Source organism: Homo sapiens, chromosome 1, assembly GCF_000001405.40.
Source record: "Homo sapiens chromosome 1, GRCh38.p14 Primary Assembly".
Taxonomy (NCBI): domain Eukaryota; kingdom Metazoa; phylum Chordata; class Mammalia; order Primates; family Hominidae; genus Homo; species Homo sapiens.
The window spans coordinates 25,733,415-25,757,273 of record NC_000001.11 but is presented as its reverse complement, the minus strand read 5'-3'; the positions used below and the strand labels follow the sequence as shown (position 1 = coordinate 25,757,273).

General features: G+C 52.8%; 1 protein-coding gene across 6 annotated transcripts in view, besides 4 other annotated features; it reads right to left on the bottom strand.

Moving 5' to 3' along the window:
* Positions 1 to 23,859, bottom strand: part of MAN1C1 (mannosidase alpha class 1C member 1) — a 167,660-nt gene that overhangs the window by 27,177 nt on the left and 116,624 nt on the right. For 4 of the 6 annotated variants that reach the window (NM_001385183.1, NM_020379.4, NM_001289010.2 and 1 more), the window contains 3 exons: positions 10,491 to 10,606; positions 7,939 to 8,019; positions 3,696 to 3,790 (listed from right to left, as the gene is read on the bottom strand). The exons of 1 other annotated variant lie outside the window; for it this stretch is intronic. In NM_001385183.1, the coding sequence (NP_001372112.1) occupies positions 3,696 to 3,790; positions 7,939 to 8,019; positions 10,491 to 10,606 (292 nt within the window). Of the gene's footprint in view, positions 1 to 3,695; positions 3,791 to 7,938; positions 8,020 to 10,490; positions 10,607 to 17,102; positions 17,205 to 23,859 lie in introns of all 6 variants that reach the window. One more of the 6 variants, NM_001385182.1, reaches the window with a different exon arrangement.
* Positions 5,055 to 5,554: an enhancer, noted in NCBI's record as "H3K4me1 hESC enhancer chr1:26078211-26078710 (GRCh37/hg19 assembly coordinates)". NCBI's record gives its function as "activates a minimal SCP1, AML or CMV promoter by ChIP-STARR-seq in primed H9 embryonic stem cells {active_cell/tissue: H9 hESC(primed)}" and the evidence as "EXISTENCE:reporter gene assay evidence [ECO:0000049][PMID:30033119]".
* Positions 6,897 to 7,452: an enhancer, noted in NCBI's record as "H3K27ac hESC enhancer chr1:26076313-26076868 (GRCh37/hg19 assembly coordinates)". NCBI's record gives its function as "activates a minimal SCP1, AML or CMV promoter by ChIP-STARR-seq in naive and primed H9 embryonic stem cells {active_cell/tissue: H9 hESC(naive and primed)}" and the evidence as "EXISTENCE:reporter gene assay evidence [ECO:0000049][PMID:30033119]".
* Positions 8,011 to 8,568: an enhancer, noted in NCBI's record as "H3K27ac-H3K4me1 hESC enhancer chr1:26075197-26075754 (GRCh37/hg19 assembly coordinates)". NCBI's record gives its function as "activates a minimal SCP1, AML or CMV promoter by ChIP-STARR-seq in naive H9 embryonic stem cells {active_cell/tissue: H9 hESC(naive)}" and the evidence as "EXISTENCE:reporter gene assay evidence [ECO:0000049][PMID:30033119]".
* Positions 8,569 to 9,126: an enhancer, noted in NCBI's record as "H3K27ac-H3K4me1 hESC enhancer chr1:26074639-26075196 (GRCh37/hg19 assembly coordinates)". NCBI's record gives its function as "activates a minimal SCP1, AML or CMV promoter by ChIP-STARR-seq in naive H9 embryonic stem cells {active_cell/tissue: H9 hESC(naive)}" and the evidence as "EXISTENCE:reporter gene assay evidence [ECO:0000049][PMID:30033119]".

Sequence of the window (23,859 nt, the reverse complement as noted above, 5' to 3'; positions counted from 1 at the left end):
CTCCCAGGAACTGGCCCCTGTCTGCCCCTCCATCTCCACGGACAGGACTTAGGAAGGCAGGCGTGGGGGTGTGGAGGTCACTGTTTGCCACTTGAGGGGTGCTGCTTTTCCTGGGATAGGGCTGGGGATCCCCTGATACTGCTGTTCTCTCTAAACTCCATTCTTGGGGCTGGATGTGGTTTCTGGGAAAGTAGGGACACTTACCAGCCTCCCAGCTTGTGGGAACAGACGAAGGGCTCGGGTTTTGAGATCTTTGGGGTCAAGTGACCTCAACACATATAGAGACAGCCACCTTCATCCTGGCTTGGGGCAGGGGACAGTGGGGGAGGGATGGGTTGCACAGGAGGGGAAACTTGGCTCCTGATCTGAATAAACAAAACAACTTCCATTTATTGAGCCGGTATAGTGTGCCAGGCACGGGGACAAGCAGTTTGCATCACTACTTTCATTGAAAGCCCATAACGTAAAGCATCATTCATACCCCTATGCAAAGGAGGAAACTGAGGCTCATACAGGGAAGTGAAGTGTTCGAGGTCAGAGGCGGAAGACGACGGAGACAGGATTCAAACAGGTCTGCTGGGCCTCCCACCCTAAGACAGCCCCGCACTCACCCAGAGGGAAAGAGAGAGGTGCCACCCTGCCCCATCTCTGTCCCTCTTCCCCCAAGGCTAACTGAGACTTCTCTCTCCAGCTTGTGATCTCAGTGAGTCTCAGAGAGCTTCCTGAATAATTGATTCTTCCTGCATTCTCAGGGAAGTTTAAGGTAGGAAAAAGCCACCAGCCCTCCAACAGTCTTTTGTTCTCCTTTTCCCCCACATGGGCCTCTCCTTCCTCTCTCCCACCCCCACATGCTCACCCTCCCAAGTGGGCTTCCTGTGGTGGAGATGCCCTGGCAGACAAGTGAGCTGGCCTGGGCAGAGGCAGGCAGGTGGCTGGGCGCCTTTCCTCTCCTGCCCAGCTTCCAATGGTGGCTTCTCCGGGTCCCAACAAAGTGACCTCGGGCAGGTTGGTTAACTTCCCTAGAACTCAGTTTCCTCATCCCTTAAGTGACAGCACCCACACTTCATAGTTATTGTGAGGTATAAATTATGCATGTAAGTATTGTCATTTTTATCATTATGTAATTATGCACATGTAAATGTTGTTGTTACTAAGTTTCTGATCTGTGCCAGGTGGTTCTGGTGGTTCTTATTTTACCTTCACAACCAACTTCGGAGGTAGATACCATTGTCTTTATTTCATAGAATGAGGGCGAGGCCACAGAGTAAGTGGTAGAACTGAATCCAATTCCAAATCCTAGGTGTTCTGTGCCCCAAATGCATCTGCTCTGGGCAGCATCCCAGAGACCAGGAGGGCCTCTGCTCAGCCCTGTGAGCCAATGGGCCAGCAGGAAGCTCTGATCTCCTCTCCCAGCCTTTCAAGTGCAAGTGGGCCCATAGCCTGTGTTCTCTCTCCTGGCAGGAGGGGCTGCTCCACAATGCCCCTTCCCACCCTGGCTGTAGCTTCTAGGCAGGTACACTCATGAGTATGGTGTAATCATCAACTTTGGAGGTAGACAGACCTGGATTCTAATTAAGTTTGCTTTGCTGCTGTGTGACCTCAGGCAAGTTACCTCACCTCTCTGAGCCTCAGTTTCTTTACCGGTAAAATGGAGTCCCTGTGGTTGCTGTGAGGTTGAAAAGACAATCCATGTCACGTGCTCACGTGATGCCTGACACACAGTGACTTCTCACCAGACGTTTGCAATTGTGAAGACATGTCTATTTGTGTGTGGCGGGAGCATGCATGTGTAAATGGATATTCGTTTGTGAATGTGTGTGCCCATGTATGGATGCCAGCATGTCTGTGACAAAGGCCAGCTTGTGTATCCAGGCCTTTATGATCTATAAGGGTGGCAGGAGAGTGTCTGCATGTGTGTGAGAGAGCATGAGTGAAAAAGACCAGCTTGGCTGCAGAGGTCCTTGCACAGGCCACCGTCACTCTCCCAGGCAGTCCAGTGTCCCTGAAGGTCCCAGGTCAGGCTGGCCCTGCCTCAGTCTCCCAGGCCGGTCTGTGCAGACACCAGTGAGGAGGTGCAGCTCACACCTGCCAGGGAACGGCCTCTCCTCAGGGTCCTTCCCACCCTGACGAGTAGGGCAGGGCTGGTTACCTACTCTCCTGAAGGGCCCACGTTCTTCCCCCTCCTGTTGGGGCTGCCCACAGCGAGCCCTGCCGGGGGCAGGTGCAACAACAGTAGCCCAGCTCCTGCCAGGAGGCCCCCTCCGAAGAGCAAACTCAGTGCCACATGGGCCCATACAGCCCTGCCACTCTCTGAGCCAGGCATTTTTAGCAACAGACTTTCTTACCAAGAACAAAAAGGCGGATGTTGCCAGGAAATATACATGAATGTACATGCGCACACGGCACGGACAGCAGGCAAACAGCCTAAAAGCAAACGCGCTTCCTTAATCACAAATGTCAGGATTCGTGTCAGATCAGGTCCCTGCTCTGAGAGACCTAGGGAAGGGCTGGGGACAGAAGAGGAAGGGATGCCCCCAATGATGTCCTACCCCAGACCCGGGGAGGGGGAGCCAGAGGACAGTGTGTGTGTGTCTGGGCTTCATGACAGCTGGCTGTGTCTCTCCAGGATCAGTGTTTATGGAAGAGGGATCTGAGCAGAGATCCAGGAGTCCAGCTCTGAGGAGTCAACCCTGGCATCGAGACTGGGATTTCTCCGGCCCCCGAGAGCACCCCCCTCCCTGGCCTATGGTGAGATTCCAATGAGTTCACACCCTGAGAATTCTTCCCAACTACAGGGGAGGACAGTTGACGAAGATGCTGAACATGCCAAGCCCTCTTTTTGCAAGACCAGAGAAAGGTGGTGAAGCCCTTGAGGCCAACACGAAGGTGCAACCTCCCCAGGACAGTGATCGGAGCCATGGGTCCTCCAACCAGAGCCCAGGGCCCCTGCCTCCCCTCCCAGACAGCTGGCTGAAGCTTCTGTTGGTTTGAGAGCCCTGAGATGAGAAATCACTTCAGGAGATGGGATGGGAAGTCTGGTGCAGTGGAACGTCACAGCCTTCCTAGCGTCGGGATTGTTGGAGGGCCTCGAGGATGGCCCCAGAGAGCTGCAGGGTGCCCGGGGATGTGGCTTCTACTAAGTAGCTCCATGAAGCACAGGGACAGTGGCTAGGGCTCCTTGAGAGCTAGGCTCCTGTTTGGGAGGGCTGGGATCCTGAGATCTCCTAGCAGCTTCAGGGACCTCCTCGTGGGAGGAGGATGGTGTGATGTGCCTGCTGGCTCCGGAACCCCAGCGGGGGAAGAGAGTGTTTGGGGCCATTGTGGAAGACTCTCAAGTCAAGACAGCACTGTGGGATGTCCAGAGGAACTGCCCCCGCCCACCCCAGGAGGCTCAGGCTTATGTGGACTAAACCCTGACACCCAGGTTTGGTGACAAACACCTGTCCAGGGAAGTCGCTGGCACTTTCACCGTGCCACCGACTCACTGTGGCTCCCAAGGTAGGTATGGTCCTCTCCCTGTGCCTCAGTTTCTACATCATAAAAGAACGGGTTCAACAGAGGTGGTCCCAAGGGTCCCCCCTCCTGCTTGCCTGCCTACTGCCCCTGGAGCCTCCTCACCAGCACCACCCAGACAAAACACAAATGGTGGGCATGGTCGCAGTAAAGCCCCAGTGGGGAACGCGATGGCGCCCTACCTTTTGAAGCTCACCACGCCCTTTGGGATTCCCGTGGGGGTGTTGAACGCCGGCAGGAGCTTCTCTCCCAGCCTGATGGCCTTTATTCGGAACACCTGTAAAGGAGGGGATCAAAGGGCTTTTGACTCCAGGCTGGGTGAGGGAAGGTCAACCCCAGAACTGCTGCAGGCAGGATGAACCCCCCAGGGCTGCAGGTCTAGAGTAGGGGGCAGTGCTGCAGTCCACCAGCCCGGTTCTTCCAACTGCTGGCCACGTGGACTTTGGCAAGGTACTTCTGAGCCTCAGCTTTTGTCCATAAAATAGGATAATACTGGCCTTCTTAGAGAGTTGTTGGGAGAAATGAAAATTAGATAATTGTGGCAAAGCATCTACCACAGTGTCAGGACTCTGGTGGCAAAGGCTGGATGCTGCTTATTGGGATGGGGCAGCCACTGGGAAGATGAGGGAGAAAGCAGTGAGGTGCGGGGGGTGGGGGGCACCTCCAAGTCCAGATGAAGACCTGGCAGAGACGGGCCGGTCTCCAAAGGTCAATGCCTGCCCACACTGCAGGACTACGATACCACAGGCAGAGGGCATGGGAACAGGTGGTGCCGTTCGGACAGACTGTCAAGAGCACTGAACTGGGAGCCAAGACCACCCTCAGGTTCCAGAGACCCTTCCTCCTGGGCGACAGTTTCCCTCTTCCTGCGTAAGAGCAGTGGACAGGCCTGTCCCGCTTTGACATCCTGATCCTGCCCACTGTTCCCATTTCACAAATGGGGAATGAAGGGAGAGGGTGAGTGGCTTATCCTCAACCACCCACAGGACAGCAAGGGAGCCACAGCGAGGTCCCAGGCCTCACGGCCCCTGCCTGAGGCTCAGACCCCTTCAAACTGTTCTGAGATGTCTGATTAATTCAAAAGGACCTGTGACCTTCTGACCCAGCCGTTTCCTGCCTGGGAATTTATTCTGAGGAAATAAATAATCGAGAATGTTGTAAAGACTTATTTATTCCAGCATTGTTTAGAATAGTGGGAAAAACTGGAAGTGTTCTAAATATCAAACAATAGGAAAGTGGTTAGATAATGGCTCCATGCAACAAAATACCATGCAGCTATTGAAATGATGCTGTGGGCCAGGCACGGTGGCTCATGCCTGTAATCCCAGCATTTTGGGAGGCCGAAGCAGGTGGATCACCTGAGGTCAGGAGTTCGAGACCATCCTGGCCAACATGGTGAAACCCCGTCTCTACCAAAAATACAAAAAATAGCCAGGTGGAGGAGCGGGGACAGTGGGAGGAAACCTCGCTGCACCTTGGTTTCCTCATCTGCACAACACAATGGTGGCACGAGCCTGGCTGCTGCAGGGGTCTTTGTGGAAATCAAATGAGAGGATGTAGAGAAATGAATGTACTTTATAAACTGTGAAGTGCCGTGCCAACCTCACGTGTGCAGCTGTGGTTATACGAGTTACTCCCATGGGCACTGGCTCTCGGTAGGACTGGCCTACCCAGCAGGGGGTCTCCCTCTGAAGCTTCATCTTAAGCAAAGAAAGGCCTCAGCCCAGGAAAAGTGTGGGGTCTCCTTCACCCTTCATTCCACAAACCTTTGTGGGAAATTTTAAGAATGGAAAGACCCACCCAACAGGCACCCACTGCATGTGAGCTCAAGGACTAAGGGAAGAGAGAGGCCTCAGTCTGGTGTGGCTGAGCCCTGGTGACAAGCAGTGACGCCATGCCAAGCTGTGACCCAGGCCCATAGCACAAAGGCCACAGGGTCAGGAGTCAGGCCCAACACAACCCTCAGACACTGTGCGACCCGGAGCCAGTTACTGCTTCTAAGTCTCAGTTTCCTCATCTGCAAATCGGTGATAACATGCACCTGATGGGGCCATCCGAGGCTCCAGTGAGAAAGTACACGAGGTATGCAGCATGGCATCTGGCTCAGGGAGGTGCTCGGGGGATAGATCAGGAAGGTGTGGCCAGAGGGCAGGGGCTGCACTGACTGACACAGGAGCCTGCCTGCCTGCCCAGGGGTTCTGGCCACGTTGGCCCCTCCTTGAGTCTTTTGAGCTGTTTTTCAAGTCACAGGTGCTCCTGTCCACACCCCACTATCTGGTCTATGTTCTGGAAAGCTGGGTTGCTGGTGCCTTCTAGGAAGTTGAGGCCTCAAAGCAAGTTCTCAGAACCACAGATGCCCTTGAAGAGAGAAGGGAGGAAGGGAAGAAAAATGCAGGGAAGATGCATGGAAGGAGAATGATGGAAGGATGGATGGAAGGAGAAAAAGACAGAAGAAAAGGTGGATGGAAGGAGAATGATGGAAGGATGGATGGAAGGAGAAAAGGACAGAAGAAAAGATGGATGGAAGGAGAAGGAAGGAAGGAAGGAAGGAAAGACGAATGGAAGGAAGATAAGACAGAAGGAAAGATAAATGGAAGGAAGGATGGAAGGAAAGATGAACGAAGGGAAGGAAGGATGGAAGGAAAGATGGATGGAAGGAAGGAAGGAAAGATGGATGGAAACGGGGGAGGGAAGGGTGGAAAGATGGATAGAAGGAAGGAAGAACGGAAGGAAAGATGGATGGAAGGACAGAAGGAAAGATGGACGGAAGGGAGGAAAGATGGATGGAAGAGAGGGAAGGAAGAAGCAATGTGTCTCAACAGCCACCAACTCTTTCCTGAATTGCTCACCCCCAAACCGCCCCGAGAGCCCTGAGCTGTGTCCTCCCCTCTTCCTTCCTGCAGGCCATCTCCACTGACCACGGCCAAGTAGGAAGGCTGGGCATATGCCCTGAAGAACACAGATGCTTTTTCTGCTCCTTCTGTCATTTTCCTGTTCTGGAGTTTTCAAATGAAATTCAGGCTCCGGGTGGCTCAAAGCCGAGGGCTTCCATCTACAATTATTTGGGGACAAATTGGTACAAGCGCTAATCTCTGCTGAGGAGATTATGCTCGATGGAGAGAGGCCTGGAGCAATTGGAGAGATAAGGTGCCCGCCTGTTGCTTCGAAACCCTTGACTTCAGCCCCTGGCACCTTCACAGATGAAGGGAAGCGGAAATGACTTTCCAGACAGCAGCAGTGGAGGTGAAGAGGGATTATTCTGTGGCTTGCCCGCCTCACCTCCATGGCTCCTTGGGTGGCGGGGGGCAGGCATCATTATTTGTCTCTGGGTGGTCAGAGCAGGGGGGCGTCCAGCCTCACAGCAGCCTCTCTGAGTAATGGGGAACAGAACTGACCAATGACTGATGTTTTGGGGACTCAGCCAACCTCGCCACCAGATATCTGGGCTGTGCTTTTACCGGAGCTCGGGAGCGGGGATGAAGAAGCCTCCCATTTCTAAGAGCTCTGTGGTTTTCAAAATTCTCTCGCAGGGAGGAGAAGATGGGCTTTGGAGCCATCAGCCTTGGGGCCCCACCCTTTCCTTCCTATCCCATGTCCTAAGAGGTCTTTGAGCGAAGGGGTATCAGAACCATCCATGCTGGGGAAGGAAGCGAGGCCCAGGGTGGGACAAGGAGCTCGCTAAGGCCATGAGTAGGTGAGGGTGGTGTGGAGTGAGGGCCAGGTTTCCTGACCGCACCAGCTCTGCCTTCCTGTAGCGTGCACTTCCCAGCCCTCCTTGTGGAAACCAACACAGCTCACCTGGGGGCAAGGCCTGGCACTGGCAGATACAGCAGTGGCTGCCCCACCTCACCTGCTGCCCCCGTGAGACCTGGAGCAGGTGTCTGGCTGGTGGTTGGCCCAGGAGGGGAGGGCAAGGGGTGGCTGTGGAGGACAAGGCCTGGGGGTCTTGGTCTTGGCTTTATCAGTCCTAAGAACCAACACTTGTGAAAAGCAGCCCAGGTGCCTGCTGGATGCTGAGTGGGATCTGAGTGGATGATGTATGGACCCAGCTGCTGCTCTCAGAGAACATACAAGCACCTGTGGGAGCCAGTTGGGCTCACCTGGGCAGCAGAATGGAGGGATCAGAGAGTAAAGGAGGAAGAGCCATTCTCCTCTTGCTGCCGCTGCTTTGTGTGATAGATTCAGCCCTGGGGGGCCGTCTGGGGTGGGAGCAACATGCCCATGATGAGCAATGACTGATTAAACAGGGAGCGGAGGGATGGTCGGAGGGAAAACAGGCCCTCAGGGGTGGACTTGGGTGGCCCCAGGCCCATCCCTGCCCCCTTAAGTCCCTTTTCCCATGGATGGCATGAGGGGGAAGGACTGGATATTCTCCAAAGCCCTTTCCAGCCTGGACAGTTCAGGGGTCATGAAAGGCCAACCCACCTCTTCTCCTGTCAGGTAGAAGGCTGAGAGGAGTCCCCCGATGTAGCGGATGTTCACCTCAAACAAGGATGCTTCTCCGCTCTGCAGGACAGAAAGAAGGAGGGGGACAGTGGGGACACTTGTAAGATGCAGGCCCTTGAGACAGGTCACCCTGGCCACTGATATTCCTCCCATACCTGTCCCCGGCTCTGGTAAGCCAGGCAAGGTGACGATGGTTTTCATAACAAAAGTCAAGAGGAATCTGCACCTGCCTGGCAGAACTCCTGCAATTTCTAGCATTCCAAATAAATGCTGGGCTTGGCTTCCTTCCCCAGCCCTTGCTGAGATGATGGCAGCAAAGCGATGCCTGGTTGTGCTCCAAGGAGCGCCAGAACCTGCCGGGAGAGCTGCTGGCTGGAGCTTAGACTGAGGGGAGGTAAATCCCACTCTGGCCAGGCTACTTCACCTTCTTGGAGGAGACCCCAAGGCTCAGCAGGAAGACAGCAAGGCCCTTTCCTGGTTCTCTGAGGAGGCTGTGGGGCAGACAGGGAAAGGCTGGGGCTAAGAAGGAGGGAGCCAGGCAGCCAGGCAGCTACGTATTCAGTGAACAGCAGTTTCTTGGGCCCTCAGCTCGGAGCGCACAGGGCATGCCCACACTTGCCTTAATCATTTCTATTTTCTTTCTTAAGTTGGGATTGCAAATCAGGGGTGCTGGAGCATCATGCCAGGACCAGATCTGGGGTAAACCCCACCTGAGCCACTGACCTGGCTTTGGCACCTCAGAAAAGATGTGCAGCCTTTCCCTGCCCCATTTCCTCAGCTGCAGAAGGGGGCTGCCAACCCCTCCCGTGCAGGGTGAACACAGGACACAGGGGAGCTGCAGAGAGAGGCCTGCCCACAGCCAGACATGCCTGTTGTCACCCTCCTTGCCCCAGAGGGTTCCCTCAGCATGCTTTGCACACCATCGTCTTTATTACTGAGAACAGCAGTGCTCATCTGTTAACCTGGGGGAGCTCTTCATCCACAGAGCACCTGCAAAACCGCTCCCCTTCAGCTTCCCAGGGCTCGGTGAGGTCAGTGTGGCGAGGGTCATCATTCCCATTTCTCAGATGAGAAAGTCAAGGTTCGAGGTCGAGTGACCCCACCTTGCTTTCTTCCAGGGACATTTCCTCACCTGCCCCACCTGCCTGAGTGTCCCCCAGCTCCTAAGGCACTGTGGGCAGCTGCCTGAGCCCGTTCTGTATCCCAAAGAGCCACTGTCTACACAGGGAACGAGGCAGGCCTATGGGGACACTCCTTCCTTCTCCTTCCTCCACCTTTCTCCAACCCAAAGAGGGGTAATGGGGGGATTCTCAGCTTCCTTGGCCTCACACAAACAACCAGAAATGTCAACAAGCCTCAAAATCATCCTAACAATGACAAGGGTGACCTCACTTTACATCAGTATCAGACTTCATAGTGTTATAAAATGCGGTTACAACTCTCCACTGTATTTAATCCTCATGATAAGCCTATGAGTTAGGCATTATTAATATTGTTGCTGTTGTCATCATTCTCATTGTATAGTTGAGGAATCTAAGGCTCAGGGAGGGTCAATGACTTTTCCAAGAGACGCAGGGCAGCCAGGACTCCAGAGGTCTCTGTCTCCAGGGAAGCTCCCCTAAAGTGTTGCGTTCCCAGGCTCTCCCAGACTCTCTCTCCACCCTGCTCTGTGCTGGCAAGCTGTCTCTCAAGGAGGCAGGGTCCTCGCTGCTGCCAGGAGCTGCAGGAACCAGCCCCAGACCTGTCTGCAGCAGGACCTGGCACTCCCGGAGCCCACATGGAGCCTGGTGTGTGCTTGGATGCGGCCCCTCCCGGTCTCCACTGCTTACTCCCCAAGTCTATGTAAATAGCCTCTCTCCGTGGGGAGCTCCCCTCTGGGATGCATGCCTTGCTTTAGTCTGGGCTGAGAGATCAACATGGTGGGCTGTGGTGTTCAAGGCTGTTGTGCCATCCAGACACACGACCATTCCCTCTGAAAGGCTCTGGTCCCTGACCAAGTGTGCCTGCAAGGCTGGAGACCAAGAGGTCCCAGGCCTGGCCATGGGTCTGCAAAGGGATATGCACCACCCACTCCACGCCCACCCCACCCGGCCATCTCAACAGGCCAGTGCAGGGCGGGCTCAAGGCTGGAGCAGCTCTCAGCAGATGAGCCACGTCCCCCCTCCACAAAGCCATTCCCCACTTGCTGCAGCTGCTGTGTGTGATAGATCCAGCCCCAGGGGCCGTCCAGGGTGGAAGCAATGTGCCCCAGATGAGCAATGACTGACCTTGCAGGGAGGGGATGGATGGTCGTGGCTGTGTCCCCTCCCCAGGGAAGATGCTAGACTGGGGAGGATGTCCCCACCTCAAGGCTGTCTTAAGGAAGGGACTCAGCACAGACTGCACGGCAGCTCCGGTTCCGAGACTGCTGGGCTGTGCAGCCGTGGGAGAGACCCTCAACATCTCTGGGTCTCAGAGATGACAGGGTGAAGCTGGCTGTTGGGCCTCTTCTGGCCCCCGCCCCCCTCCCCCGCCGAGGGCCTCTGACTCACCACGTTCAGGTGGAAGCTCTCTCCCACCCAGGCCTTGGCCTCCTGGAACTCCTCCTTCAGCTCCATGAGGTAGAGGGTATCGAGGGAGTCAATGACTGTTGCCCCGCTGAGGCCTCCTGCAGGCACAGAGCATTGAGGGTGTGACCCAGGGCCATCTTTCTCTTTTCCCCAACTGGACAAGCCACCGTTCTCAGGGCCCCTCCAATGCCAGCGCAGGCTTGGTGGCAAAGGCTGGCCTCAGGCACCATCCGGGGGACTCCAGTGCCACCATCGAAGGTGACGCCGAGACCCAGAGTCCCCGCCATGGGCTGCTTCCTCCTCAAGGCAGCAAACAGCGGCCAGAGAGACCGAGGGCCCAGGCTGAGCCACTTCCCAGACTCGGTCCACTCTTCTGTTGGTCAGCGGGTCAACTATCAGTGCCAATCAGCCACCCACTTTTCTCTGCTTTGGCATATAAAAATCTTTGTTTGTTTGTTTTTGAGACAGGGTCTTACTCTGTCACCCAGTCTGGAGTGCAATGGTGCGATCTCGGCTCACTCCAACCTCTGCCTCCCAGGTTCAAGCGATTCTCCCACCTCAGCCTCCCAAGTAGCTGGGACCACAGGTGTCCACCACCACGCCCAGATAATTTTTGTATTTTTAGTAGAGATGGGGTTTCACCATGTTGGCCAGGCTGGTCTTGAACTCCTGGCCTCAAGTGATCCACCCACTTCGGCCTCCCAAAGTGCTGGATTACAGGCGTGAGCCGTGAGCCACCTCATCCAGCCTGGCATACAAAAATCTTTTTTTTTTGGAGACAGAATCTTGTTCTGTCGCTCAGACTGGAGTATAATGGTGCTATCTCAGCTCACTGAGACCTTCATCTCCTGGGTTCAAGCGATTCTCGTGCCTCAGCCTCCCAAGTAGCTGGGATTACAGATGCATGCTACCACACTCAGCTAATTTTTGTATTTTTAGTAGAGAGTGGGTTTCACCATGTTGGCCAAGGCTGGTCTCGAATGCCTGGCCTCAAGTGATCTGCCTGCTTTGGTCTCCCAAAGTGCTGGAATTACAGGCGTGAGCCACTGCACCTGGCCCAAAAATCAACCGTGCCAATCCTCTGTCTCTTCAAGATTAGTTGTAGCTAATAGAGGGTGAACTATGGCTCAAATATAAAATAGGATACCATGCAGTCATCCACGCAGGTGAGGTCGACCTGTGCCTATTTACCTGGGGAGACATCCACGGGATCTTTTTCTTTCTTTCTTTCTTTCTTTTTAAGTAAATTGCAAATAAGAAAAAAACACAGTATAATTCTTATTGTACATCAAAGTGTAAGTGTACAGAACTAAGTCTGGTATGACCCACTGACTACCTCTGAGTGCCGGGATTACAGGTGCCTTTTGATTTCTTCAGCTCATGGGTTACTTTCTTATAACCAGAAACTTATTTCCATTAAAAAAAAAAAAGGAAAGAAAATTTGGGCAAAGAAACCAAACAAATACACAAAGTAAAAATTTGCGGCCATTCTCATTCTAGTGCACGAACCAGCTACGAGGCCTGGCCCCTACCACTGGGCATCAGGCACCTGTCCTGGGAGTAAAGGCTGAGATAAGTGCAAAATGATAGTTTTCCATCCCATGAACCAGACAGAAGAGTAATGAGGAAGACACCCTCTGGCACAACCAGAGCCTTTTGCACTCAGTGCAGAAAACTGTGAAGGTGGAGGGGAGGGAGAAAGGGACATGCCTGCTACTATCTGAAAGGCTTCCTGAAAGAGGTGGCGCCTCCCATCAACTCCTTACAACTATGGAGTCATTGCAGGCAGCAGTAGTTTCCTTTAGGGACCAGAGTGTAACCCTAAGAGGAGTAATTGTTCCTTCAGTGTCCTCCCTGCAGAGGCTGAAAACATTGAGAGTCACAGGCTCCACCTTCCGCAGTGGAAACTCTGGAGCCTGTTGAGCCCACTTGAGTCTGCAGCGTGGGCTTTGCGGCACCTCCTGAATTCAGAGTTAGCCTCTAATCTCCTTAATGAGTGCTTCCTAACTGCTCACTTGTGTTGACTGAAGGCAGAGAATCCTTCTGAAATTCACACACTTAACCACCTCTCTAGGCTGGGCAAGGTCTGAAAAAGGATACAGCCTGGAAAAAGAATGGAAGTGAGGGTGAGAGGGAGGGAGAAGTTAGGAGGAAGATGAGGCTGGAGGTCAAAGAATCTATTACCAGAAGGGAGGGCCCGCCAAGGAGGGAGCAGAGGGCTGGAGGCACCCAGCCCTGTGTCCTGGGATGGGCTGGAGGTCGGAGAATCTATTACCAGAAGGGAGTTCGCCAAGGAGGGAGGAGAAGGCTGGAAGGACCCAGCACTGCGTCCTGGGATGGCTTCCCTGTTTGGGCTGAAGTGAATTTCCAGAATGTCAGCCCCTCCCATGCTTAAGAAGTGGTAGGAAAACACATCCCAAAGCCAAACAGACTTGATCCTTTGCCGGTTCATCCCAGCTGCTTCCCCTGTAGGTGGCAGGGCTGAACAGAGTTCCTGGCCCGTATTCACCCTCTCGAGGTGCTCAAGCAGGGAGGCACTGAGGAGCCCAGGCAGACTGAGCAAAGCAGATCGTGCCCAGCACACAGGGTACAGGCCTGGTGTCCATGCTCCTGGCTGTAGCTCAGGCCCCTTCCTGTTCTATCACAGGACCTCAAACCAGACGTTTGAAGGGCCTGGAAGAATCTGGGGGATCCTGCTGCCCCTACCCCTTCATTGTCATAGATGAAGACCTCAGAGAGGGGATGGGACACACTCAAGATTAGACCAAGGGGGGACTGGCCCAGCCCCAGGCCAAGTGGAATGTGTTTTCCACGCATCAGGCATTGCAGGGCCGCTCAATTCTCTGTGAAAACAGTTGCAGATCTGATTGCTCACCCCACCCCACCCACTCTGATCAGTTACGGATCAAGAGAGGCCCAGGCCGTATGTCCTTCAAGGCCAGGGGAGAGGCAGCCGCAGTGTCTGATTTCTGAATCCTGCCTTGAGCTCCCTGGTGTTTTCACCCCATGCGCCCTTCTTCCTCTAGATCAGGCTGGGAGGGCAGCCAGGACTCCTCGTGACCAGCTCTGCCCCGTGACGTCCCTGGGGACGCTCTATGAGGCCAGCTGAGAAAGCAGCTTGCTAAGAGATTTGTTGGCAAGTTCCTGCCCCTGCTCTCAGGCTCCTGAATCCTTCTCTTGGTTGGTCTCCCACCCCCATTCCCACCTGGCACATGGCTGAGCTGCAGTCCAGCAAGGCACTTACTGGAAAGCCTTTCATTCCAGTCCAGAGGCTACTCAGCGGTCAGGCTGGGCAGGAGAGAAGGCCCTATCCTGAATTCAACCCTATTTGCACCTGCAGCCACCCTGGGGCAGCTCCCCAGGAGGAAAGACACACTCCCTGTTCAGTAAACAGACCATGATTTATACACAAAGAGCCAGCTTGGACGCTTCCCTAGGGCTGTGGCTGGGGCGGGCTCCATGTTGGTCCACTTTCCTGTTCCAGTTCTGAAGCCATGGGGTTCACCCCTTCCTGCTAGTGCAGAAGGCAGTGAGGTGTCTTAGAAATAATACAGGCCCAGAAATCAGCAGCCCCGCGTTCAAATGCCGCTATGAGCCAGCAACACATCTGCTCTAAGCATCAAAGTTCTCATCTATAAAATGAGGTTAAGACCACTGGACCAGGGCACTGGGGAGCCACTGCAGGTTCCTGAGCCAGGATAAATACATCACATACACACCTGGCCTAGATACATCTGATAAATACAACCTATATGCTTGGCACAGACTAAGTGCTTGATAAATCAGTTCATTGAACCGATTGTTCATCAGTTCTGGGGTCCCTTAGTTCACCTTGAAATAGCAGCCTGGCCAGGGAGTGAGGAAGGGCAACGAGGTCAGGGAGACCCTCTTGATCCTTTCCTTTGGGAGGGTTCGGACCTTTGGCTACTGAATAAAGCCTTTGCAAGGCAACCTCACACATAGCTAAGAGGCTGGCTTTGGTGTCAGGGAGATGTTCAAATCCTGGCCTCTTATACCCTAGCTGTGCAATAGGGCAAGCCATTCTACCTCTTTGTGCCTCGTTTCCCTCATCTGCAAAATGGCGGTGACACTAGGACCTGCCTCATAAGGCTCCTGGGAGGGTTAAATGGGGTAGGTTGATGGACAAGGGCTGGCATGATAGTGAGTACATGTGGCCCTCCTTGCCCCTACTGGCACTGGGCAGCCCCTCCACAAAAATCTTCTTGGGTCAGTGAGGCCTTGGGGTGCAACTACATTCCCGGCCCTCTCTCTCACCCTGCAGGGCAACGTGAGCGTGAGATTGCAGCTTGCAAAAACCCTTGGCCCAACTTAAAGGAAAACCGCCCCACAGGTCCCATCTGTATCTGCTGCCGAGGCCATCACTACCTGATCTGGTTGTGTAGTTGCCTCCAAAAGGGTCCTCCTATCTCCAAGACCCCTTCCCTTTACCTCTTATTCACTCTAAAGCCAGATCCAACTTGGGTCTCTCCCCAAGCTCAGGAACTGCCAATGGTTCCTCAGTACCCATGTAGGAAGGGGTGCAAGCTCCTGCTTCCATACCTTGGCAAGTGTGGTCTTCTCTGCCAAGAAATCTTCTCTGTGCATCTTGGCATGTTCAACACTAACATGTTCTTCAAGGTCTACCTCCCAGGGGCAGCCTGAACTGGTTCCACTAGCTAACCTCTTCTTGCCCTGAGAGTGCCCACAGCACTTTCTTGGGCACCCACCACTACCTCCCTGCACTGTGGGGCTTTGCCTCCCTAACTAGACTGTGAGCCCCTTGAGGTCAAGGGTCCCCACTGCCTCTCTCATACCCCTCCCCACCAACCTTCCAGCCTTGTCTCCAAGCATCCCAAAGGTCAGAACCCCCCAACCCAAATGGGCCACTTGCCATTCCCTCCTTACATACCGATACTTTTATGACTCTTCTACAGACTCTGCCAGAACTGCCTTTTCCCATCCCACCTTCTCCTGTGGAAATCTAGGGCCCACCTCTAATGGCTCATTGCCCACAAAGCCATGCATGCAATCTCACCCTCTGATGTCCGGCTTAGAGCCCTTCTTCTGTGAGAGGGTCTTCCCCAGCCCCAATGTCCACATTCTAGGCCCCTACACTGTGCACCTCCACCTCCCCCCATTCTCATCTCATGCTAATGGACTCATGCGTTTCCCTGTCCCTGTCACTTTATAATAGTGGGGACTGTAGTCTGCATCTGTGTCCTCCCCACAGTGGGACGGCAGGAGGGCAGGAGCCAGGCTGGTCTCCGGGTGTCACGGATCCTGGCTCCTTACTGGATCTTGGCCTTCAGGCTGCCATTCTTCCTCTTGCTTCTCCTTCTACCCTGGGATGGCTTCTTCCCAGTCTCCTGTGCTGGTTCCTCCCCATCTCCAGACCTCTAAAGACTGGGGTGCCCTGGGGCTCTGCCTTTGGGCTTCCTTTCTGTCCTCCCTCATTCTCTTAGTGATTTCAAATCTTAAAATCCATCGGCCAGGCACAGTGGCTCACGCCTGTAATCCCAGCACTCTGGGAGGCTGAGGCAGGCGGATCATGAGGTCAGGAGTTTGAGACCAGCCTGGCCAACATAGTGAAACCCTGTCTCTACTAAAAGTCACATATCCAACTCTGCATGCATGTCTCCACTTGAAGGTCTTTGGGCATCGCATGTTTCACTGTCTGAAAGCCAATCCCATGCCTTCCTCCAGACCTGTTCCTTCCAGTCTTCCCCATCTTGATTAACACCAATGTCCTCCTCCCAAGAGCTGTGGCCCCCAACCCTTGACCCTGTCTCACACCCCCTCATCCAGTCCTGCAGCAAATCCTGCTGGCCGTCTCTGCGAGATTTCCAGACACTGCCCACATCTCACCTTCTCCGTGCTACTGCCCTGACCCAGCTACCTCCTCTCTCTTGCATTTATTCCACTGGCTTCCTCCCCGCCCCCTTGGCATCTACCCTTGCCCTTCCCTCTTCCCCGATCCACCCATCTGTCCTCAGCGTTGCAGCCAGAGAGATTTTTTAAAAAATTCAAGTCAGCCGGGCGCGGTGGCTCACGCCTGTAATCCCAGCACTTTGGGAGGCCAAGGCGGGTGGATCACGAGGTCAGGAGATCGAGACCATCCTGGCTAACACAGTGAAACCCCGTCTCTACTAAAAATACAAAAAATTAGCCGGGCATGGTGGCGGGCGCCTATAGTCCCAGCTGCTTGGGAGGCTGAGACAGGAGAATGGCATGAACTCGGGAGGCGGAGCTTGCAGTGAGCCGAGATAGCGCCACTGCACTTCAACCTGGGTGACAGAGCGAGACTCCGTCACAACAACAACGACAACAACAACAACAACAACAACAAAAATTCAAGTCATATCATGCCACTCCTCTGCTCGAAACCCCCCATGGCTCCCATCTGACTGAGAGTTGAAAGCCTTAGTCCTTCCCGTCCCTGGGGCCCTGTGATCTGTCCTGGTTCCCTCACTGCCTCTCCTCCTCCACTTTGGCTGCACGCTGTCCCTTCAGCCTCCACTTCGGCCTCCAAACCTGCTCCTTGCCTAGGCCCTGGTAGCTGCGGGCTACTCTGCTGAAACTGTTCATGCCACTCACTGTCTCCTTGTCTTCTCTGGTTTTCCCCAGCCTTCATCACCAGGGGCATCACGCACGGATCTGCTTTCCCAGCCACTCTGTCTTCTCCTGAGGGGTTGGCTCCTAGGGAGAGAACTCGGTTCACCGCCACCTTCCACTGCCCAGAACACTTTCCAGCCCCCACGGGGGCCCGTAAGTATTTAGGAATGAAAGAAAGGCCCCCTCCAACTGGATGGGGAGGGCTTCAAGGGGGGCTGTGGCGCATTCACAACTCCCAGTGCCTGGCTACAGTCTGACCCTAGGAGGCATTAAAGGTAAGGGGTTCGGCTGAACAAAACGAGCCCACAGCATGGGCGTCTGTGGTGACTACGTCCAGAGCAGGGTTAAGTGTCTACTCCAGGGGCTGCCACCACTAGACAAAGACCCTCCCACCAGGCTGCCCAGAGTGACAACATGTGCCCAAAGCCTCGCCCTGCACAAAGCTTTCTGTGAAGAGCGTGTCAATCTCTACAAGGAAATGAACCTCCAGCTCCCAGAACCTCCTCCCCAGGAGCTGCTGAGCCAGGAACCAGCCTGCCTCCCTGGATCACGGTCTGTATCCCACCCTGCTGACTCTGCCATATTAATGATGATGATGTTTTTATGTGATATCATATTAGCAAAGAGAAATGGTCAGGCTGGCAACACAAACTCCAGGAAGAACATTTAGAAGAAAAAAAATCACCCAAGGCATAGCCTATTCCCACAATATCCCCAGAGCCACATACTAATGGCTGCATTTAATTTAATGAGACAATGCACAGACTTTTCTTAATCTGTAAAGAAACAACACACACGTTTTTCTCAGCATCCACAGAAACCCATGTGGCTGTGTGGCAGACCATCTTTTCAAAGGCAGCTGCTGTGGTGTATCTTATCCCACAAGAAGAACGAAGCTTTTCTTGTGACACTGACACACCTCCCATGGCTCCTCCCCTTGAACCTGGGCAGACCATTGTGATCATCTGGACCAACGGAATGAAGCAGAAAGGATGAGGTGCTATTTTCTTTATTTTTTTGAGACAGGGTCTCTTGCTCTGTCATCCAGGCTGGAGTGCAGTGGTGTGATCATAGCTTACTGCATCCTTGAACTCCCGAGAAGCAGGGGCTACAGGAGTGCACCACCATGCCTGGATAACTTTTAAAATTTTTTTGTAGAGATGGGGGTCTCACTATGTTGTCCAGGCTGGTCTTGAACTCCTGGCCTCAAGCGATCCTCCCATCTCAGTCTCCCAAAGCACTGGGATTACAGGTGTGAGCCACTGTGCCTGGCTTGACCTTAAGGCCCAGACCTTAAGAAACTGGCAGCTTCCACTTCCTGCCTCTCAGAATGTTGGATCTTGGAACCAGCCACCATACTGTAAGGAAGCCCAAGATAGCTAGCTCTCAAGGAGAAAACATGTAGAGAGCCATGTATCAGTTTTCTGACTGACAGTCCCATCTGAGGTTCTAGCCAACAGCCAGCATCAATTGCAACGCATGACTCAAAAAGCTTCCAGATAATACTACCACCCAGCTGTCGAGTCAGCCTCAGCCTTCAAGCCTTCCCAGCTGAGGGTCTATACATGACTGCACAGAGACAAGCTGTCCCCTGTTGTGCCCTTTCTGAATTACTGACCCACTCAATCTGTGAGCATAATAAAATAATTGTTTTAAGCCCCCAAGTTTTGGAGTAATTTGCAATGTAGCAATAGCAACTGGAATGTTTTTGCCACATGGGTTTTTTAGGAAGATGAATTAAAGTGACATCCCCATTACCCAAAGTTTATTGTTTAAAACCAGATCGTCTAATATGATGAGGTCTTCTGGCGGCATAAAACCCATTTACGGACTGGGACCTCTCCATTTCTATCTGGTCTGTTTCTCGTGTGTCGTGTTTTAATTTTTTTTCCTTGAGCAGGAATATTTTCCTTGAATTTTCCCATGATAGCTATTTCCTGGGTGACATAGCACTGTGCTCTGAGGCTGAATATTTCCAGGCAAAGGTTTCTTGAAGCCTCTGGAAGGAAAGATATTTTTTAGGGATTCTTCCTGGAACCCAATAGAATGCTCTTACTGGAGGCTGATACATGAAAGATGAGCATAATGATCACATCACCGCCCTGTTTAACAGCCCTCAACCTCACCCCTGCCTCAGTTCTCCAAGTTCAAACTCCTGGACACAGCGTGCAGAACCCATGGTCCCAGCCGTGGCAAGTTCTCCAGCCTCACCTCTTGTCCTGCTCTCTTTGCAAAGTGATGCTTGACCCACATCAGACCACCAGCAGCTCCTCAGACTCCCTGGCGTGCCTGCTGATATGGGTCCCTCTGCCTGGGATGCCTTCCTTTGCAGAGATGGCTCGGTAAACACCTACTCATCTTTCTGGCCTTGGCTCATACATTCAGCCTTTTCCCAAGACGTTCCTGAGCCACCAAGCAGAACTGACCATGCCCATTGATGCCCACCAACTCTGCTGCATGTGACTTTGTCCCAGCACTGTGTACACGATATTGTATGTCTCTGCATAGGTGCCTGTGAATCCCAGGGTGCAGTGGCTGGGTCTAACATTTCCCAGTGGCCCCAGCATCCATCCTCAGGCTGGGCACAGAGAAGGCAGAAACGAGTGGTTGTTGAATGAATGAATGAATGGCGATTGGAAATGCCAACAGCTCTTTCTTGGGGCTCTCCAACACTTTACCAGGCCCCTGGGACTCGGAGAAGACACAGCACACACAGTAGTGGCCAGCTACCAAGGAAATCCCTGTCGGGGGGGCGAAATGGGCAGCCACAGACGTCAGGGCCCTGGTGGAACTAATGGCTTCCTCCACCCTTCCTGAGCAGATGCCACGCTTTGCTGCCACAGCTGGCTGGAGAATGATTACTGCAGCCAATGGCTGGAGAAGGTTCCCTGTGACAAGTGGCTGGACACAGTTCACTGAAGCAGTCTGCTGGACACAGCTCCTCATTGGAAAACAGGGTGTGTTTGTAAAATGTTAATGTTTGTTTTTAAATAAGAGCTGAGGGTGCTGTCTGATCTGGAAACCTGTGTTTAAAAACTCCCTCTGACCGTGCTGTAGAGCAAGCTCTGAACTGCTTTCATCTCAAAACTGAAGCCCAGAATTCTGGAGTGATATCTCCAAAGTCACAAAACTCAGGGCAGAGCTGTGACCAGAAGCCACCTTCCAGAGCACGTGAACTTTATGTTTCCTGCGAGGCCTGGATAGGGAAGACAGCGTGGGCTTTGAAGCCAAACAGACCCGGTTCTGATCTCAGCCTCATCCATCCTTGCTGTGTGAGCTTGGGCAACTGACTTGACCTCTTGCACCCTCAGTGAAATGGGATAATGAGCCGGGGTGCAGTGGCTCAGGCATGTAATTACAACACTTTGGGAGGCTTAGGTAGGTGGATCGCTTGAGCCCGGGAGTTCAAGACCAGCTTAGGCGACATGGCAAAACCCTGTCTCTACAAAAAATGCAAAAATTTGCCAGACATAGGGGCATGTGCCTGTGGCCCCAGCTACTTGGGAGGCTGAGGTGGGAAGATTGCTTGAGCCCAGGAGGTAGAGGCTGCAGTGAGCTGTGATGGCGCCACTGCACTCCAGCCTGGGCGACAGAGCAAGACCCTGCTGCAAAAACAAAAATTAAACAAAGTAAAATGGGACAATGAGGTCTCCCTTTTAGGGTGGTATGGTGATGAGTTTGGAAGAATACATATAAAGAACCCCCATACACTGTCCAGCACTCAGCAGGCACTCACTACAGGAGAATATGACACACCCAGCATACCAGTAGGTACTCAATGCATGGGGCTGTTATCACAAGGTTCAGTTCCAGCAGAGAAAGTCACCCTCAGGCTTGGCAAAGCTAAGAGCCCTGGCAGATGATTGGCCCAGCAGAGAAGGTACTACCTTTGTGCCAGGCAAGCAGAAAGTGTGAGCCATGGGGAAGTCAGGACAGAGCTGGGCAGGGACTGGGGCATTTTAACTACCCAATAGGACTGCAGTACTCTCTTTGCCTCAATGGGGAGAAGGGCAAAAATCAGAGCCCTTTGCCGCTCATCCCACCAGACATCAAAGTCCAGCTACTGCTCTGGTCAGCTCCTAACAGCAGACACAGAGACCCTTCACACTCTGGCCTCTACTTGCCTGGGGAAATTAGATGGTTGTTCAACAAATCTTCACTCCTTCCCTCTCCCTCCTTGGGAGGAGTAAATATCCCTATCCCATTAACCTTGTGCTTTTCCATGTAACTTGCTTTGGCTTCATAGTGGGTGGGGAATTAAACTCTGCCCTTGATCTTACGTTTGGCCATGAGACTTGCCACAGGGATTAGAGGACATGATCTGAAACATGCTTGCATGGCTGGGCTTGCTCCGTTAGGCTCCCACCCTTCACCATGAGAAGAATGAACCTCAAATGGCCACTGGTCCAGGAAGGATGAGATATGTGCAGAGCAGACTTGGATCTAGCTAGATGCAGCCTAGATAAACCAAATTCCAGCCTATCTGCAGTCACAAACAACACTGTGGTCTGCCTCTCACTGTGGAATACTTTGTTATAATACAACCCTATTATGGAAATAGATGACTGATACAATGTTCTTACAGTCCTATGTCATATATATACATATATACATACACATATACATACACATATATATACACACACATACATACACACATATACACACATATATACATACACATATATAGATACACACATATATATATACATACACATACATACATACACATTTTGAGACACAGTCTCGCTCTGTCACACAGGATGGAGTGCAGTGGTGTGATCTCTGCTCACTGCAATCTCCACCTCCTGGGTTCAAGTGATTCTCATTGCCTCAGCCTCCCAAGTAGCTGGGATTACAGGCATGCGTCAGCATGCCCGGCTAATTTTTGTGTTTTTGGCAGAGGTGGGGATTCGCCATGTTGGCCAGGCTTGTCTCAAACTCCTGGCCTCAAGTGATCCACCTGTCTCGGTCTCCCACGAGACAGGCCTGGGATAACAGGCGTGAGCCACCGCGACTGGCCGCCTATGTCTTAATCGTCTTTTCATGTGTTCCACATTCTAGGCAAACTACTGCTTCCATGTGGCCCACTCTCTCCAGCCTCCAGCCCTTTCTTCAAGCTGTTTTCTCTACCTGGCATGCCCTCTTCTAACACACAATGTCCCCACACGTCTCAATCCAATGTCTACTTTAACTTCTAGATAAAATGTTTCTTCCTCCGTGAAGACATCCCTGACTCTCCCACGTGGATCTGAGGTTTTTCTCCTCTGAACGTTTATATCAAAGGCATTGTTTCTCAACTTCTATTACAGTAATTTGTGTCCTTTTCTCAAGTCCATTCCAGGCAGGGAGTGTCTTCATGGCTAGATCTAAGCCTGGTTGATTTAAGCCTACACAGACCCTGCAGGGTCAAGGTGCCTTTGGGATCTGCGGAGTGAAGGATTGGACACCCTCCCTGCACTGCCTCTATGTGAGGAGGCCACCTAGACAGCCAGTGCCCTGGCCAGAGGCAATTCCTCTGTGGTGTGAGGTGCTGGGAGCCAGACACTGACTCCATGAGGCTCTGAGATCCTAGCCCAGGGTGGACACCCCCACAAAAGCTTCTTGTGGAATGTGGAATTCTAAATGCCAGCCAACCCTTCCTTATCAGAAGTTAAGAACAATCCTTTTTTGCCTGGCACTGTGCTGTTTGTTTCACATCCATCTTTTAAAAACTCTATCATTGGGCCAGGTGCAGTGGCTCATGCCAGTAATCCCAGTACTTTGAAAGGCTGAGGTGGGTGGATCATTTGAGGCCAGGAGTTCGAGACCAGCCTGGCCAACATGGTGAAACCCCATCTCTACTAAAAATACAAAAGTCAGCTGGGCATGGTGGTGCACACCTGTAGTCCTAGCTACTTAGGAGGGTGTGGCATGAGAATCGCTTGAACCCATGAGGTGGAGGTTGCAGTGAGCCGTGATTGCGCTACTGCACTCCAGCCTGGGTGACAGAGAGAGACTCTGTCTCAAAAATAAATAAATTAAAATAAATTAAAAATCAAAAAAATAAAAGCTCGGCTGGGCGCAGTGGCTCACGCCTGTAATCCCAGCACCTTGGGAGGCCGAGGTGGGCGGATCACGAGGTCAGGAGATCAAGACCATCCTGGCTAACACGGTGAAACCCCATCTCTACTAAAAATATAAAAAATTAGCCGGGCGTGGTGGCGGGCGCCTGTAGTCCCAGCTACTCAGGAGGCAGAGGCAGGAGAATGGCGTGAGCACGGGAGGCGGAGCTTGCAGCAAGCCAAGATCACACCACTGCACTCCAGCCTGGGCGACAGAGAAAGACTCCGTCTCAAAAAAAAATAAAAATAAAAATAATAAATAAATAAATAAACAAAATAAAAACTCATTGTCCCCCTCTTACAGACGAAGATTGAGGCTTAGAGGAATTAAGTCACTTGTTCAAGATTCATTCATTCATTCATCCCAAATGTATTTTTTGGGTACTCGGGGTGTGCCTGGCACTGGAGCCTAGTGGAATGAGGGGAAAGACACACAGAGACACATCTAAATGTAACGTGTGTGATGCAGAAAAACAGAGTGGCTAAGGAGGAGCTCCATTTAGGTGTGGCGGGGGAGCACAGCCAGGAGATGGGCAGCGTTCGGGCAGAGGCTTGAAGGAGGCCCAGGAGAAAGGGGCCAAGGGCACGGCGGGCAGAATGCACAGCACATTGAAAATCCCAAGATAAAGGTTGTG